Below are 17022 nucleotides of genomic sequence, written 5' to 3' on the forward strand. Positions count from 1 at the left end.
CTCAATTTCTGCTCATGAGATTCAACAGATGAACTGAGGGAACATATGCCAATAGCTCTGAGATTACAGGTCCGCATGGGATGCCCATAAGGTGCAGGATTCTATTAGCTAAGATTATGTCTCAGGTGGGCAAATCTCTGTGGACATAGCAAGAAAAAAGAAAAACTGTCAAGGAATAATATAGAGACAGTGTGATGGTTAATTTTATGTGTTAACTTGGCTAGACCACAGTGCCCAGGTATGTGGTCAAATATAATTCTGGAGGTTTCTGAGAAAGGGTATTTTGGATGAGAGTAACATTTGCATTAGTAGACTTTGAGTAGAGCAGGTTGCCCCATGTCATGTGGGTGGACCTCATCCAATCAGTTGAAGGCCTGAATGGAATGAGATTGACCTTCCTGGAAGAAGAGGAAATTCTACCAACAGAATATCTTAGGACTCAAATAACAACTCTTCCCTGGGTCTCCAGTCTGCCTGCCTTGAACTTTCACAATCATGTGAGCTAATTCCTTAAAATAAATCAATAAAAATAGATGATAGATGGATGATTCTGTTTCTCTGGAGAACCTTGACTAATACAGATAGCATACTAATTCACCCTTGCCATTTATAGAGGAAAGAGTGGAGTAATAAATATCAGAATATCTTCTCCAGACCTGGTCACCACAGAAACAAATTATAGCTATACAAAATATCTTGGAAGTTTAGCTGAAGAGATGAGGAGATACTCTACTGCTCAATGTGCGCCATGTCATCTGTTGTACCTCCCCTTAGTTAAGTCAGGAGGGCAACACTCCCTTTATTTTTTATTTTATTTTGTATGTATGTGTGTGTGAGATGGAGTCTCACTCTGTGGCCCAGGCTGGAGTACAGTGGCGTGATCTTGGCTCACTGCAACCCTGCTTCCCAGGTTCAAGTGATTCTTGTGCTTCAGCCTCCCGAGTAGCTAAGATTACAGGCACAGGCCACCACCTGTGGTAATTTTTGTGTTTTTAGTAGAGATGGGGCTTCGCTATTTTGGCCAGGCTGGTCTCGAACTCCTGACCTCAGGTGATCCGCCCACCTCGGCCTTCCAAAGTGCTGGGATTACAGGTGTGAGCCACAGCTCTCGGCCCCTCTATTTATCAGACAGATGTATAGAAAGTTTATTGTGCTAGCAAGAGTATGAAGAAAAGGATTCTCTGAGTTGAAAAAACAAATTGGAATATAAATTGGTACCACTTCTATGGAAGGCAAATTTACAGGGCTTATTAATTAAAATAAAAAATGTGTACTGTAACCACTATGATACAGCAGTTGCGCTTCCAGAACTCTACCCTATAGAAATCCGTGTACAAATAGCAAAAGATATTTGTACAAGAATGATGACTGCAGCATTATTTGTAATCGTAAAATCATGGAACAAACTTAATTTAAAAAACAACATGTAAAGGGTTAGATGATGGAATAAACAAAAGAAGAAATGCCTTCATCAAAAATAATGCAGAGGATAATAATAATCTTGAGTCTACTGATAACATTATTGATCGAGCAATTAGTAAATCTAGGCACATCCTGCAAATGCGGTATTATTACCATCCTCATATTACAGTTGAAAAAATATTGAGGTACAAATAGCTTGTCAATAGCCCAAAGGCACAAAGAGAAGCAAGATTTCACCCAGAACCCGTGAACAGATCACACAAAATTTCTCTTGTTCCCTGGTCCAAGGAACTTCTGTACCTTCCAACTACATTTCTTTCCAACAGAGACCTTCTTGGAGGATGAGAAGCAGCCACTAGTTGACAGGAGGGGAAGTGAGGCATGTAGTCTTCAAGGGAGCAGACCACCGTGGGAGTTATAAAAGACCAGCGACGCCTCTGGGTGGGTTCGAACCACCAACCTTTTAGTTAACAGCCAAACGCGCTAGCCGATTGCGCCACAGAGACATGGCTGAGCTCCTAATTTCGTTCTATAAGAGGGTAAGCTGTCACTAAACGCTAGCTAGCACCATCCGCCTTTTGCAAAATGACTGGGTAATCTCCAAAGCCTCGGAAAGCCGGAGCAGTCAGAGCGACGAATCTACTTGTTTGTCAAGTTTGAAACCTGTGCATTGAGTGATTCCGAAACGCCCCGCACCCCGCCTTGCCTGCCTCAGAAGCCGGCGCTTCCGGAGATGCCGGGATCGCGACTCCTGTTAGAGCGACTTGGGCCCCAGGGAAGCTGAAACGCCCAGGGCGCTCAATTAGGACTTGTTGAATTAATAATACATTTGAGAGACAGAATATACAATCGAACAATGGCCGGACTATACGTAAAAATATAACTCTGATCCACAACCTGGGGCCACCTGCCCAAGAAATCAACTTCCTTATGTACGAATAAACAACCGGGGAAGCCAGCCTGCTATTATATAAGTCAGACTCACAGGGAGCCAGGCAGTTATCTGTAGTAACAAACAATAACATCCATAACAATCGGCTCCAAATGGCAAGAGCTTGGTTAGTAACTGACACTTTCCCTAATTTATGTTCCCACTTGCAACTTAGGACCAACCAGGGAAAGCCAAATATGCACCCCTAACCAAGCACACTGGATGTCCCCCTTCTAGTTAGCCCACAGGCAGCTTCCCCACACCAGCAGTCTCCAATCAGGGCACACCTGAAGCCTTCCCTTTCCTCAGCTATAAAGCTGTCCCACTCCTCTACCTGCCTTCTAAGCTCTGTCAAAATGCAAGTGCCGGTGGCTGATGCCGGTGGCTGACGCCCTTGCGTCAGAATAAATAACCATTGCTTTTTTCATTTGATGGGCCTTCGTTTTCACACTTTGTCATCTTTAAGCTTTTAGCCCTTTGAAGGATTCTGAGACTGGAAAATAAATGAAAGGATTTTTCAAAGGGGGAAGTTCTTTTTTTAAAGGCTTTATTCTAGTCAATTGATTTCCAAGTGTGCAATGTCCCATGGGGTAGGCCACAAAGAGGCCTAGAGTGCACCATCTGTGCGGCTGCAGCTCCTGGCTCTCAACAGAACTGAGATCTAAGTCCTCATGATCTGATCAGCTTCCAAGGGCCTAAACCTCCTATTACCACCAACTTGGGGATTAGGAGTTCAACAAATAAATTTGGTGAGGGGACGCAGACACACAAACATTCAGACCATAGCAATGCATAAAGGTAGCTCATCACTGAAGTTTTAATTTGTGTTTCCCTAACGAGTAATGATTTTGAACATTTTTCCTACGTCTTTTGGGGTCAGTGGGCAAGATCAGGAAAGGGGCAGGGACCAAAGGAGACATGAAGAGGGAAACAGCAGGGACAATGACACCTCCCAGGAGACTTGTGCAGAGGCAAAGGCTGGATCCTGAGAGATGAGAATTGTTTTTGTCATGTATTTGAATGGGAAGAAATAGAAAAAGGACATGAAAGAGAAAAAACACAAGAACTTGTAGCTATCCAAGAACAAAACAGGAAAATATCGTGGATATTTTTGCATCAAAAATATTAAAAGCAGCCCACTGGCAACCCCAGGTTTATGGTGCACCATGATGATATAATAGTTAGTGCTCTTCATTGTGACCGAAGCAACCTTGGCTGGAATTGGAGCCACAGTAGCATCTGGCTTCCTTCTTGGCAAGATTTGGTATGTGTTACAGTTTCACTTTTTAAATCCCCTTACCAACTGCACCCAGTAGCTGTGGTCAGAAAGCAGAGTTTACTGTGTCTCCCTGTGACGCAGTCAGGACAAGAGAAGGAAACCCCCACAGTGCACTAACCTACGGCAGAATCTTTGGGGAAGGTTAGAAGGGACCGTGTGTCTGAGCATGTGCAGGAACCATCTCAAAAGGTAAAGCCCTGACTCTTCAGGAGCCTTGTCTGTAGCTTCAACTGACGTAATGGTGTGGTAATAACCATTTTTCTGGCTGAGATATTTCAAAGGTCAGTAAGGCCTTTTTAGATGCAATGACAATGAGCTTTGTATGAGTTCTCATTCAACAGGGTATTTTACAATAAAATCTGATCATATAAAACCCAATAAATGTAATAGAACCTAAACTTGATGCCATCCTCCACCTCCCCCACCTAATTATTTGGCGGGGGAACGGGAGCGCTAATAGTACATTATTGAAGTATAATTCACATAGAGTAACATGCACAAATCTTAAGGGCATAGAAACGTAACCATCGCCTAGATCAAGTTATAGAAAATTTCCATCAGCCCAGAAAGGTCAATAACCTCCTTTAGATTCCCATCCACCTTCCTTTCACTTAGACAAACCATTCTGATTTCTATCTTCACAGACGAATGTTGACTGCTTCTGAAATTCACATAAATGAATATACTTTTTTGTGTCTGACTTCTAATTTCCTGCAGCATAATGTTTTTGAGATGCATCCATGTTTTTAGTATATTATTTTGGTGTTATTGATGACTGTTATTTCTGTGTGGATGACTGGGTTATTTCCAATTCTGGCTCTCGTGAACAAAGCTGCTATATTCTAGTACAATTCTTTCTGTAGACATATGCACCCATTTTTCTTCAGTTTATACCTGGAAGTGGAGTTGCTAGGTCATGGAGTAGGTCTAAATTTAACTTTATTATAAACTGCCAAACAGTTGTCCAAAATGGTTGTGCTATTTTACCTCCTCACCAGCAACGAGAGTATAGTTACTCCACATTCTTGTCAGTACTTCTTGTCTTTCAAATTTCTTCTATTCAAGCTGTTAAAATACCTTAAACTGAGTAGCTTACAAACAACAGAAATTTATTTCTCACTGTTCTAGAGGCTGGGAAATCCAAGTTCAAGGTGCCAGCAGACTCTGTGTCTGATGAGGGCTCACTCTCTGGTTCATAGGCTGTGCCTTCTCCATGTGTCCTCACATGGTGGAAGGGCAAACAAGCTCCCTCCAGCCTCTTTTATAAAGATACTAATCCTATGCATGAAGGCAGAGTCCTCATGATCTGATCAGCTTCCAAGGGCCTAAACCTCCTATTACCACCAACTTGGGGATTAGGAGTTCAACAAATAAATTTAGTGGGGGGAGGCAGACACACAAACATTCAGACCATAGCAGTGCATAAAGGTAGCTCATCACTGAAGTTTTAATTTGTGTTTCCCTAACGAGTAATGATTTTGAACATTTTTTCTTATGTCTTTTGGCCATTTAGAAATTTTGTGTGTGTGAAGAAAGCCTATTCATGTATTTTGCTCATTTTTAAATAGCTTGGCTTTTATTATTAATGTCTAAAAGTTCTCTCTAAATATTCAATATTTGAGTTATTTTTCAAATAAGCATACTGCAAATATCTTCTCCCAGTCTTAACAAGGCTTACCTTCTTTCTTGTGGTAATTTTTTGATAAGCAGTTTTTAATTTTGATGAAATCCAATTTTCTTATTTTTTGTGACCTCTAAGACATCTTTCCTACCCTATGATTGTGAATATATTTTCCTACATTTTCTTCCAGAAACGTGTTTTTATTTTTATTTTTAAATCTATAATTCTTCTTAATTTCATCTCCTGATCTCAGCACAATGCTTAACCACTATAAAATCCACAACTTGCAGACCAACAGTTCAATCTCCCAGAAACTTGTATAACCCTTGATGTAACAACATTTACAGTAGTTTCCTGCTGTGCTCTTTGACAACTATAGATCCTTGCGCTTCCACCCCACTGCCCCCTTGCCTTCTCCCTTCTCTCTCCTCTTTTCACCCCTACAAGGTGAGAAAACCAGAAAGACCTAAAACTGAGGAGAAGAAAGACCTGGTCTAATCTGTGCTCAAGATATTAGAGCACAAGAAGAAGAAAGACTGGGTCTGATCTGTGCTCAAACCACACCTGTATTCTGGTTTGTAAGTCTAGTTCTGCCCCTGTGTGGCCTTGGATAAATAACTTAAACTTTATGTGCCTCGATCTTTCTTCTGTAAAATGGGGCTAATAAGAGTAGTCTTAGGCCAGGCGTGGTGGCTCATGCCTATAATCCCAGCACTTTGGGAGGCCGAGGCAGGCAGATCACTTGAAGTCAGGAGTTCAAGATGAGCCTGACCAACATGGTGAAACCCCATCTCTACTAAAAGTACCAAAATTAGCTAGGCATGGTGGCAGGCACCTGTAATCTCAGCTACTCAGGAAGCTGAGGCAGGAGAATTGCTTGAACCTGGGAGGCGGAGGTTGCAGTGAGCTGAGATCACACCACTGCACTCCAGCCTGGGCAACAGAGCAAGACTCCATCTCAAAAAAAAAAAGAAAGAAAAAAAAAGAAAAGAAAAAAGTAGTCTATTTCAGTTTGCCATTGTTAGCTGTGTCTGGATATGGTTGACGATTAATTAGTAATCAATCAGAATGATCTTCCTCATTGTCATTTTCCTCTGCATTATTTTTGAAAGCAACTATGCTGATGTTTTGCATCTTAAATTAGTTTTTCTTCTAAGAATTCCAGTAGATGGACTCATGGAGTATGCCCACTGTTATGTCCAGTTCTTTCTTTCTGCATAAAGTCTCTGAGTTTTATTCACATTGTTGAGTATATCAGATGTTCATTCCTTTTTATTGCTGAGTAGTATTCCATTGAACGAATATACCACAGTTTATTTGCCAGTGTCCTGATAATAGACACTTAGATTGTTTGTAGTTTTGGGTATGTGAATAAAACTGCTATGAACGTTCTTGTTATAATTTGTGTGTGTGTGTGTGTGTACATATGTTTTAAAGTCTCTTGGAAGAATATCTAGGTGAAGAATTGCTAGGAAAAAAAATGTTTATGTTAAAATGTATAGGAGACTGTCAAACCAAAGTGATTATAACATTTTACATTCCCTCTAAAAATGTATGAGTTCTGGGTGTTCCACATCTTCACCAAGATTTGGTGGTTTCTGACTTTATAATTTTGCCATGCTAAAATGGCGGAGTGGTATCTCAATCTTGTTTAAGTCTATTTCTCTCACAACTAATGATATTGAGCACTCTTTTATGAACTGACTGGCCACTAGTATATTTTCTTCTCTGAAATGTCTGTTTAAGCTTTTGCCCATTTTTAAAAATGGGTGTTTCCATTTCTAATACTGAATTGTAGGAGCTAATTGTATACTCTGGATACAGGTTCTTGGTCAAATATGTGTTGTGAATATTTTCTCCTCGTCCATGGCTTGCCTTTTCAGTTACTTAATGGTGTCTTTGGATGAAAAGACATATTTCATATCAACAAAGCCTAATTTATCATTTTTCTGTTTTATTTATTTCTCTGTGTAATATTTAGAAAATATTTGCTTTCTGCCAAGTCTTAAAGACATTTTCATGCATTTTCTTCTAAAACTTCATAGTTTGTATGGTTTGTTCTGTGATCCAACTCAAATTAGCTTTTGTGTATGTTGTGAGGTAGGGATTGAGATTTTTTTCCTCACTAGTAGATATCTAGTTGGTCCAGCACTACTCGTTGAAATGACACTTCTTCCCCATTGTATTGCTTTAGTACCTTTTTTGAAAAAAAAAATCAATTGACCATATAACAAGGATCTGTTTTAGGTGTCTCACTTCAGTTTCATTTATCAATATGTGTATCCTTTTGCCACATTCACACTGTTTTGTTTATAGTAATAAACAGCTTAATAGTAAGTCCTCTAGGTTTGACAGCTCAATAAACCTGAAATGTGTACATCCTATGGTGCCACCATGAAAATCAAGACATGCTGTCACTTAATCGCTCTCATTTCACTAGAGGACACATGAGCTCATGAATAACGGTTGACCCCTTAGCCAAAGATCCTCTATTGTACCCTCTGGAGAAAATAAATCTCTAGTTACCTTAAAAGCTGATCTAGAGGTAAAATGTCTGCAACATTCAGCAATGAATTTAGATTATCTTTGAAAAAAAGTTCATTTTCAAGTTGTTTTTTTTGTTTCGTTTTTTTTTTTTTTTTTTTGCCAAAGAATTTCTTTTTTTTTCTGTTACTTAGTAGCATGAAGTACAATGTTTGGTTTGCAATTTCTGTTCTTTGTAGGAAGAAAAACTTTAGTGGAAACAACCAGTACTTAAAGACCATTTTATGAGGCTGTCATTTACGTATTATCTCTTTTGCTGTTTTTGTTAAAATGATATAAGGTGGGCTTTATATGCTTTCTGTATATCCTTTGGAATGTGTATTTAAATTAAAAACTTAAAATTAAAATATTCATCCTAGACTCAGGTTAAGTTCCACCAACAGTACACTTAAAATAGGATGAGCCCAACCTAAGCGTACAACCTACCTGCTTCAAGTGTGTAGTTGGTGTGTGTGATACATTCTCAACAGTATTTGTGTTCCCTGGTGTAGTGATTTTCGTGTTCCTCCCACCCTTGAAAGTCCTCGACTTAAAACCCATCTAGAACATTTCCTTTGCTAAGACTTTAAAGTATTCTTTCTTCAAGTTAAGGGCAGTTTTTAAATAGTTATCAGTTGCATTCTTGGAATTCACAGAAAGCTTGGGGAGAAACAATCCAACGGCACAAGTTCAAGTGCCCAACGGGGTGGAGAAGGGACTGCATACTCACTGGTTGCCAGGCCGAGGTTGTCCGCCTTGCCTGCTTTGGCTGAGACTGGAGACGGAAACTCCATTCAACAGCGACTGGAGGACTGAAACAGGGCGCAAGAGGGCGGCTGCCCTTCACCTACCGGTCCCTCCCTGCCTTGGCGCCTTCGGAGTTCGGACTGACCCGGGATGTTGCTGGAGCCCGCAGGAACTGCAAACTCACCGCGCGCGTCCCTGCACACCCGCACCTGCGCCTCGAGAACTCCTGGCCAGTTGAATACCCGGTCCCCCGCCGAGCTTCGCTGCAGGTCACAGGAAAGAGGTGCAGGGTTGCGTACCCGGCGGGAGAAGCCGCGCGGAGAGGACCAGGTGCTGCTACTGGCCTCCGAGAAGACAGGCCTAGAGTAGCTGATTTTGACCTGCAGGGCCAAAGTCTAACGGCGGCCTAAAACCCTAACGTCTGGGCGAGCCGCGGGTAGCGAGTTGAAGCGATCTCTATGCCTTGCTTGTCGTTTGCCAAAATTCAGACCAAGAAAGAGAATAGTTGTGTGGATCAAAGTCTGCAATTAACCAAAAAAGAAACATGATCCTGTGTTAGCTTACTTAGGAAAAAAGGAAGAAGGAAGGAAAGAAGGAAGGAAGGGAGGAAAGGATGGAGGGAGGGAAGAAAGATGAAAAAATCAACCAAAAAAAGAACATGATTTCCTAACTAATCGGATGTGGGTCATGAGAGAAAGACCTGCGTCGAGTTTTTGGCCTGAACGTGTGGAGGGTGGAGTTGCCATTAACTAACGTGGGAAAAGGCAGGTGTAGTACGTTTTAGAGAAAATATCCGGAATTCCGTTCAGGGCCCTGGGGTCTTCCTTGAAAGAGTTTTCCATCCAGGCCGTCTCGGTTTCCGCATCCGTCTGAGTCGTTTATGATGTCGGGAATGCAGGAATCTGAGTCCTTTATGATGTTGAGGGTGCCACGGTCTCACCCCGGGCGCCTCCCCGCTCCAGCCTCCTCCCGGAAGCCTGGTGCGCTCTGGCCCCGCCGACCAGCGACAGTCTCTCCACGCGCTGCCGCCTAGCAAAGGCGCATCTTTAGGTCGGTAGTGAGGTGCGGCCGGGACGCTGCAACTCGCTCCGGGACTTGTAAACCTGGCAGGTGTTCGAAGAGGGCCACTGGCTGGAAGGAAAGGAGAGAGCTCTGCACGTCGCGTGTGGGCTCGCAACTTGGAGAAAGCAGGGAGAGGACAGCCTTTTGGGACTATTCCTTGGATGGGCGGGTGGCACCAGGAAGGGTAGATGGAGCTTTCTAGAGGTCAATGTCAGCGTAATTTCTGCTGAAACAATTGAAGGAGGAAAAAAAAAAAAGTATGTGCTTTGTGGTTCCCTGGTAGTCTAGTGGCTAAAGTTTGGCGCTTTCACCGCCGGGACTGGTTGATTCCAGATCAGGGGACTGGGTCTCGGCCTCACTGTGAGGTATTGTTCTTTCCTGTGTTTGCCATCTGCCACCGCTGTGGCTCAATTATTCCAAGACTGCTGGAGAAATGGAATTAATGTCGATCCTAAAATTTAAGCTATTTATCTAGGATAAATTCCAAATAGTGGAACTGCTAGGTGAAATTTATTGTGAATTTAAGATTCCGATGTATACAGCCCTACAACGTATAAGCACCAATTACATTCCCCAAAGTGTGTGAGACTGCGTCTTTTCCCCAGAATTTGGAACCAATGCTAGAAATTATCAGTCTTTTAGAGATAATTTTAAGCTTATTTATCATCAAAGGATTTCTTCATAGTCAATTTCCCCTTAGACTATAAATCCGCAAGAGATGGCAAAGCTGGAAGAACTGCCTAGAATTTCAGCAAACTTGAATTCAATAGTCTCTCTGTTCTTTCCTGTTTTGGCACCTACCCTTTTCTTCCAGTTAAGATTGGACACAATAGAAAAATAATTAATAAATGTAATAAAAATGTAAGCCTGGACGTTTTGCTCACAGTGTTCTCACTGGGTCTAAATTTTGTGAATGTGGTTCCTTGGATAGTCTCATGGGTATGCTTGAGACTTTAGGCCCTTGGGACACCTGGTGCACAGAAGGGTCCCAAAACCCATCTTTGGAAGTGTTGGCAGAGTAAATAGGCACCAGTAATAAAGGCAACGGCGCCTGAAGACCTAAGGCTGGTTTAAACCAAAGCAGATTTTTCAAAACCAGAGAGGGCTTGTGTTCATAATTTAATAATTTAATTTTTATTTTGATGAAATTTAAATTTGATTTAAATTTTCATAATTTAATTTTCATTTTGATGGCCACTTTATTTTGACAAAGACACTAGTGGAGGAAAGTCTCTTTATTGGATCATCAATTTCCCTATAAATCTTTGTCTCAGAAAAATTTAATAATAATTTCATAATAAATTATAATAAATAATGTTTCACATCTTACATTACTCACTTTTGATTTAGTTGGCTTGTGCTGTCAATATGTTGCCCACTGTATAACACTACCTGATGAATTACATTCAACTATGTAGTAATACATATTACTACATATACACACACACGTATACATGTGTATATACATGTATACGTGTGTGTGTATATATATATATAACCATATGTAATTTCAAAAGGTAAATTAAATATAATGGGACAGTGTTGGTAACCTCTTAGATAGTGTAGGGCTAAGATAGCTGAATTTATGGCATGGTGTTGTATACTTCAGATATCTATGCTGTAATATTAAAATGGCATTTCCTTGGCCCACTAAATTGTCCATTTCCTGGCCCAAAAAGATACGCGAAAGGAGTGAAAATGGGAAGAAAATAGCCTTTTGAAGGACTTGCCTAATAAACTTCTCCCTTAGCATTACTTGGAGTGACATCAGAAAATTGGAATGAAGTAATTGTGTAATGTAAAAAAGACAAATTCTCTGCTGTCTTTCTCCCCCAATCCTTAATAAACAAAGGAGGAAACCTAGACTCAGGTTAGGTTTTCTCTTCTTATTCTTTACATACCAGGACAAGTACTGAGCTTGTTTGTTACTATATGGGGACTTAGTATATTGTACAAAGGGGTGTGGCTATTACTATCCCTTTTCTACCAGAGCATCAAAACTGGTAACTTGGCTGGTGTTAACGGGAGCTTCTAACCTTGAATTCCCACTCCATGTGACTTCTTTCTGGTTCTCTCTTCTCAGAGAACTTGCAGCCATCAGATTCATTTGGAGAAGTTTGATAAAGGTTACTTTACGCTTAGACAGAAGAAAAAACCCTAAGGTCTTGAACTGAGCCTTATCCTCTGATACAGTTTACTGGAATTCCCTCCACTGTGGCACAAGCCCTGCTGTAAATTGTGATTATCTATACCTTGTCAGTTTTATCTATGTATATATCTTTTACAGTAATCCCCACATCCACCAGAGAACCTAGGTTATTGGCAGAATGAGGTTTGGGAATTCTGGTCCTCTGGCCAGACACTATCAGTTAGTACTCTGATTCCACCATTTTTGAAATTATATACAACAAATTTTAAGTATTGTTTATTTTGGAGAGTTCAGGTTAAAGGAAATGAAGACTATTATTCAGTATTATTTCTGTAATTTTGTAATTTTAACCATAACATAGGTTTCTTATCAAAACGTATGGAAGCCAGAAAGCAGTGAAGCAACAATATTTTCTCCAAAACGAACAGGCCAAACTTTGGCAGGAGTGACAAATCTGGCATGCAATGGTGGCTTCTATATCAGAAATCAAGTCTTTTACTTTGTGAGAGCACGAGTTTTTAGTTTTTTGTCTTCCTTTTGGCTGCCAGAGGAATTGAACATTGTGAATTCATTGGCATAGTCCCAAGAAACTTTACTTGGCAAGCAAGCTATTGATTTTGGCGGGGGTGGGATGGTGTTTATCAGTCACCCCTACTAGCAGAGATGTGATAACACTGCAGTCAGAGTAGTTGAGTTTTAAAATTTTGACTTGCCAACCAACAGAACATTATTTATATGGTAAAACTTAGACATCAGAGGCTACAGGCACTCAGGCTAAATTCTGACCCATTCATTGGTGACAAATGTTAAGGGATTTTTGCCCCATTAGCCCTTTTTTTACTCATGATGGTACTCTGAACAGAAGAATCTCCTCTAACAATTTAAGACCATTCATTGTATAAGCATGTAAATCATCAATCTCAATGACACATTTTCACAACTATACACTGAATTGGCTCAGAGGCTTCACTCATAACTTTAACTTTTTTTCCCCCTTTACTACAAGTTTTACCCAAACTCTGTCAGTTGAATTCACACTCTACAGGAACACATATCAAGAAGTTTAACACATGCACTTTAGTTACAGCAGCACCTGCCAGGAGAATATCTTACCTCCTTGACTGAGAGTTCAAGGAGTGCAGGGAGATGTGACCAGCCATCAAGATGCAGTAGAGAGACTTCTTTCGTTAAAGTACCTGAGTCAGGTTGAGGGGAAGAGAAGAATTAGGAGCACAAAGAGAGCAGGCACACCACAGGAAGCACAACTCTGCAATTGCTTTTGGTTTTAAGAGGCTGTCCATTCAGTTTTTTTGGGTTTTTTTTTTCCTTTTCTTGAAACGGAGTTGCCCAGGCTGGAGTGCAGTGGCATGATCTCAGCTCACTACAACCTCCACCTCCTGGGTTCAAGCAATTCTCCTGCCTCAGCCTCCCGAGTAGCTGAGATTACAGGCTCCTGCCACCATGCCTGGCTAATTTTTCTATTTTTAGTAGAGATGAGGTTTAACCATGTTGGCCAAGCTGGTCTCGAACCCCTGACCTCAGGTTATCCACCTGCCTCGGCCTCCCAAAGTGCTAGGATTACAGGCATGAGCCACCATGCCCAGCCTGTCCATTCAGTTTCAATGAACTTTAAACAACAAAAAATGCCATTTGGGTGGCTGGTTTCAGTCTTCCCTGTCAATGCTCAGCCTCCAAATATTCACTAACACATAGAACAATAGGAGGACTGTTACTCTCCTCTCACACCTACTACTTGGGAGAGAACATCTGCTACCAGATCCTGGAGGCCCTTCTCAAGCCCCCTAACCTGGCCCCATGTGGTTCTTTCTGTTTTTTCTCCTAGAAGGCATTGTGACCTTACTGGTCCCATGTTGGGCATCAAATCTGTGAATGGCTCACACTTGGACTTACGCACACAGCATAAGTAATAGGGGATATCTATGCATAAGAAAGATTAGTATGTTGTCAGCTCCCCACACCCATAATTCCACAGCATGACACCAAACTGGAGTTACTAGATGACAACCCAAGTGGTGGGTTGCTCTGTCAAGAAGGGGCCAATTTTATATTGCAGCTAGGCAGTTACAGTCTGTAGCTGTACCATTGAGGGGATCGGGGCAAGATGCAAATTTCCATGGCTTACCAGAAACAGGTGAGAAACTGCCTGCTGGTAGCCTGCTGCAAGACAAGGAGGCCCCCAAAAGAGATGAGTAAGAAATAGTCTTATGATAATGGCTCACAAGACTACTTCCCTTACCATGGTCCAGGAGGGCATTTGGTCAAGGTTTGAGTCATAGTATGGTTGAGCCTTGCCTATGTAAAGTTTAAGCAAAGCCATTCCCTTGTACCTTGTACCTTGAAGAGAGTTTCATTGGATATAATATCCTTAATTTGCACTTTCTTCTTTTTAATGAGTAAATTGCATTTTATTTTATTTTATTTTATTTTATTTTATTTTATTTTATTTTATTTTTTGAGATGGAGTCTCACTCTGTCGCCCAGGCTGGAGTGCAGTGGCACTATCTCGGCTCACTGCAAGCTCCACCTCCCAGGTTCACGCCATTCTCCTGCCTCAGCCTCTGGAGTAGCTGGGACTACAGGCACCCGCCACCATGCCTGGCTAATTTTTTGTATTTTTAATAGAGACGGGGTTTCACCATGTTAGCCAGGATGGTCTCGATCTCCTGACCTCATGATCCACCCAAGGAGTCTCTCTCCCTCCTTGTGTTCTGGTCTGTGAATGGCTCACACTTGAACTTAGTGTAGGCTCCTAGTGGGAGGAGCAGGGGTGGCGAAAATCCTCATCATATGGATAAACATAACCCAAACCTCTAGAGGTTTCATAATTTTCCTCTTGCTTCTAAAAACATAGTCATGTCTTATGGGGTGTTATGTACTTTATATCTTAACATTTTCCACTTGCTGCTTCTTGGTTTGAGGGGAGAAATGCCAGCATGTGGCAAATGGAGAATAAGACTGGTGGAAGCCTCAGGGCAAGGCCTTCACTTCCCAGTGACACTGTTCCCAATTCCCTCCAGCATGAGCTGAGCCTCCTCAGGCTGTGGTTGTGCAGCAGACAGGGTGTGAGGAAACCCTGCTCAACCCTGGTTACCCAGGATGGCACTGAGTTCTAAAAAGCAAAGGTTATGTGGTGAGGGGCCTGGCTGAAGACCTGGTGTGGTACTTTTGTGAGCAGTGGCACCAATAGAGGCTGGGTAGGAGAGAGGTGCAGGGCCTAGCTCCCCAAAAGACCAACAGATAAACTGGGGCAGAGAGAGAGATTCCAGTGTAACCGGGAAGGCTGCAGATCATAACAACTATGGCTGCTGATTTGGCATCAAAGATGTGGCATTGTCAAAGCCACAATTGTTGAGAATGGCACCAACATGCTGCAGCTGGAGAGAGTGGGTGACCAACATTTTGAAGTGGCATAGTTGTCTGGGGTAAATACCCAACGTTTGTTGCCTCACACCAAGGGAACTGAGGATGTGGACACACAAGAAGTGGGTTTAGGAGTGGAGGTTTACTAGGCAAAAGAAAGAGAAAGGAAAATAGCTCTCTCTCCTGAGAGAGAGAGGGTTGCCAGAGTGGAACTTCTGGTTTTGTGGTGAAGTGCACAGGGTTTTATAGGCTGGCTTGAGGAGGCAGTGTCTGATTCACATAGGGCCCAAAGATTGGTTGGACCAGGTGTGACATTTACATAGCGCTGGAAGAAGCTGGCCACCCAACCCTAATCTTCTTCTTATGCAAATGGGTTTTCTACTTTACTCGCACCATGTTGTCTGCTCCTTACTGTACACGTGGTTAGAAAGGAAAAGGGAAGATGGAGCCACCATGTTGAACATGCCTACCCCCCAGGTAGCCTTGTCCTATTGGCACAGCCGCCAGCAGTCACCTGTGCAAGCTTCCAGCTTGCTTATCTATGTCTGCAGCTCCATTTTACAGGCTGCTTTTTGTTAGAAAAGAAATTATTTGGTGGCTGCTTTTCATTAAAAGGGAACCTTACCAAGGACTTCCTTACCCTAATGCCTAAATAATTTCTTTTTAACTCCTATATCAATTTGTTTGAAGAACAGATGACACTTTGAATGGCCCAGCCCACAGCCCAGAATTTCAAGGGAAGACCTTGAATTCAAGGGAGACAATGTCTCCCGTAAAATCACCTAGGCACTTACATAGCATATTTTTCTGTCCACTGTCTTGCTAGTCTGTTGTAGTTCTCTCTGTCGGCCTTGTAGGTGTGGGGTATCTCTAGCACCAGAGGATCATTGAGGTTGGGGATGCAGGGCAGTGAGCAGATGGACAAGAGAACTTTTGACAGTCAATGCTGGAGACCACTGAGACCATAGGATGTTGAAGCAGATGCTGCCATTGCTATTGATATTGGGGTGATAAATTTTGGTTGTGAAAGCAACCTTTGGGGGCTTGAACAGGCAATCCATAGGAAAGTGGATGGTCAGGAAGAAAACACCTCCTTGGCAAGGACTGTCATTAATTATCACCCAGAGGCCCCGTGGAGCACTGGGCAGGAGGATTCGTCTGCAAGTTGGTTAATTCCTTCTGGATCCACTTTAGTGCCATCCTACCCCACTGCTGGGGGCTGGGGTGGCCCAGCCACACTGCACTTTCTATATATAAGTTTTTTGAAAATGCTGCTTCACTGTTACCTTGCCTTGTATGTTAGTGCCCATCTAATTCAGTTGCTTTTGTAACTTGTTCCACAGTGATGCCTGGAGACCTGAGTATGTTTTATCTTTAAAATCTAATAATGTTACTAGGATATTGTCTTGAAGTTGATCATCCTGGTTTAATTTTTGCTGCCACTTTATGGGCTCTTTCAATGTGCCTCATCACATAAGTAATGTCATTTTCATTTTTGTAAATCAAGTCTCCTAGATTGTTCACCTGAAAGCCTGATTCTCCTTTAGAGAAAAAAATGCTAAAAAACAAAACAAAACAACAAAAAAAACAAAACATTATATATCGCATTACAATTTTATTCAACAAATACAGAGGTTTCCAGAATAGTTAAAACAAAGTAGAAAACAACTCTGGTGTTATAAGAGCAGTAGGTTCATATGCCCACTGTGCAGTAATAGACCAATACACTAAGACAGCAGTTTGCAACAAAGAATTTAATGATCACAGGGCAGCCAAGGAGAGAGATATGAGTAGACCCTCAAATCCATCTCCTCAAGAACTTCTGCGTTAGGGTTTTTAAGGGGATTGTGGAGGGTGAGGGGTTGGAAAATTAAGGTTGTTGATTGGGCAGGGGAAGGGGGATGAAA

General features: G+C 41.9%; 1 long non-coding RNA gene, 1 other non-coding gene and 2 pseudogenes across 15 annotated transcripts in view, besides 3 other annotated features; 1 reads left to right on the plus strand and 3 right to left on the minus strand.

Moving 5' to 3' along the window:
- PDE4DIPP7 (PDE4DIP pseudogene 7) overlaps window positions 1-10441 on the minus strand; it is a 29158-nt pseudogene extending 18717 nt beyond the window's left edge. For 7 of the 10 annotated variants that reach the window (XR_007066586.1, XR_007066592.1, XR_007066590.1 and 4 more), the window contains exons 1-2: window positions 9224-9795; window positions 8507-9044 (exon numbers count right to left, since the gene is read on the minus strand). The product of XR_007066586.1 is annotated as a PDE4DIP pseudogene 7, transcript variant X7 (transcript). Of the gene's footprint in view, window positions 1-8506 lie in introns of all 10 variants that reach the window. The other 3 variants (XR_007066588.1, XR_007066589.1, XR_007066584.1) reach the window with 3 other exon arrangements.
- The window catches only part of LOC105371406 (uncharacterized), a 45129-nt gene that overhangs the window by 4779 nt on the left and 23328 nt on the right, over window positions 1-17022 (plus strand). Inside the window, exon 3 of one of the 4 annotated variants that reach the window (XR_002958361.2) lies at window positions 8433-10457. The exons of 2 other annotated variants lie outside the window; for them this stretch is intronic. This is a non-coding gene — a long non-coding RNA (uncharacterized LOC105371406). Of the gene's footprint in view, window positions 1-1748; window positions 1830-8432; window positions 10458-17022 lie in introns of those variants that run through there. One more of the 4 variants, XR_007066594.1, reaches the window with a different exon arrangement.
- Window positions 1541-2121: an enhancer, noted in NCBI's record as "NANOG-H3K4me1 hESC enhancer chr1:149711484-149712064 (GRCh37/hg19 assembly coordinates)". NCBI's record gives its function as "activates a minimal SCP1, AML or CMV promoter by ChIP-STARR-seq in primed H9 embryonic stem cells {active_cell/tissue: H9 hESC(primed)}" and the evidence as "EXISTENCE:reporter gene assay evidence [ECO:0000049][PMID:30033119]".
- Window positions 1855-1928, minus strand: TRN-GTT8-1 (tRNA-Asn (anticodon GTT) 8-1). Its single transcript has one exon. It is a non-coding gene; the product is annotated as a tRNA-Asn (tRNA).
- Window positions 2122-2701: an enhancer, noted in NCBI's record as "NANOG-H3K4me1 hESC enhancer chr1:149712065-149712644 (GRCh37/hg19 assembly coordinates)". NCBI's record gives its function as "activates a minimal SCP1, AML or CMV promoter by ChIP-STARR-seq in primed H9 embryonic stem cells {active_cell/tissue: H9 hESC(primed)}" and the evidence as "EXISTENCE:reporter gene assay evidence [ECO:0000049][PMID:30033119]".
- Window positions 9136-10076: an enhancer, noted in NCBI's record as "H3K27ac-H3K4me1 hESC enhancer chr1:149719079-149720019 (GRCh37/hg19 assembly coordinates)". NCBI's record gives its function as "activates a minimal SCP1, AML or CMV promoter by ChIP-STARR-seq in primed H9 embryonic stem cells {active_cell/tissue: H9 hESC(primed)}" and the evidence as "EXISTENCE:reporter gene assay evidence [ECO:0000049][PMID:30033119]".
- Window positions 15794-16350, minus strand: UBE2D4P1 (UBE2D4 pseudogene 1; annotated as a pseudogene).

The sequence above is a fragment of the Homo sapiens genome, chromosome 1 (genome assembly GCF_000001405.40).
Source record: "Homo sapiens chromosome 1, GRCh38.p14 Primary Assembly".
Lineage (NCBI taxonomy): Eukaryota > Metazoa > Chordata > Mammalia > Primates > Hominidae > Homo > Homo sapiens.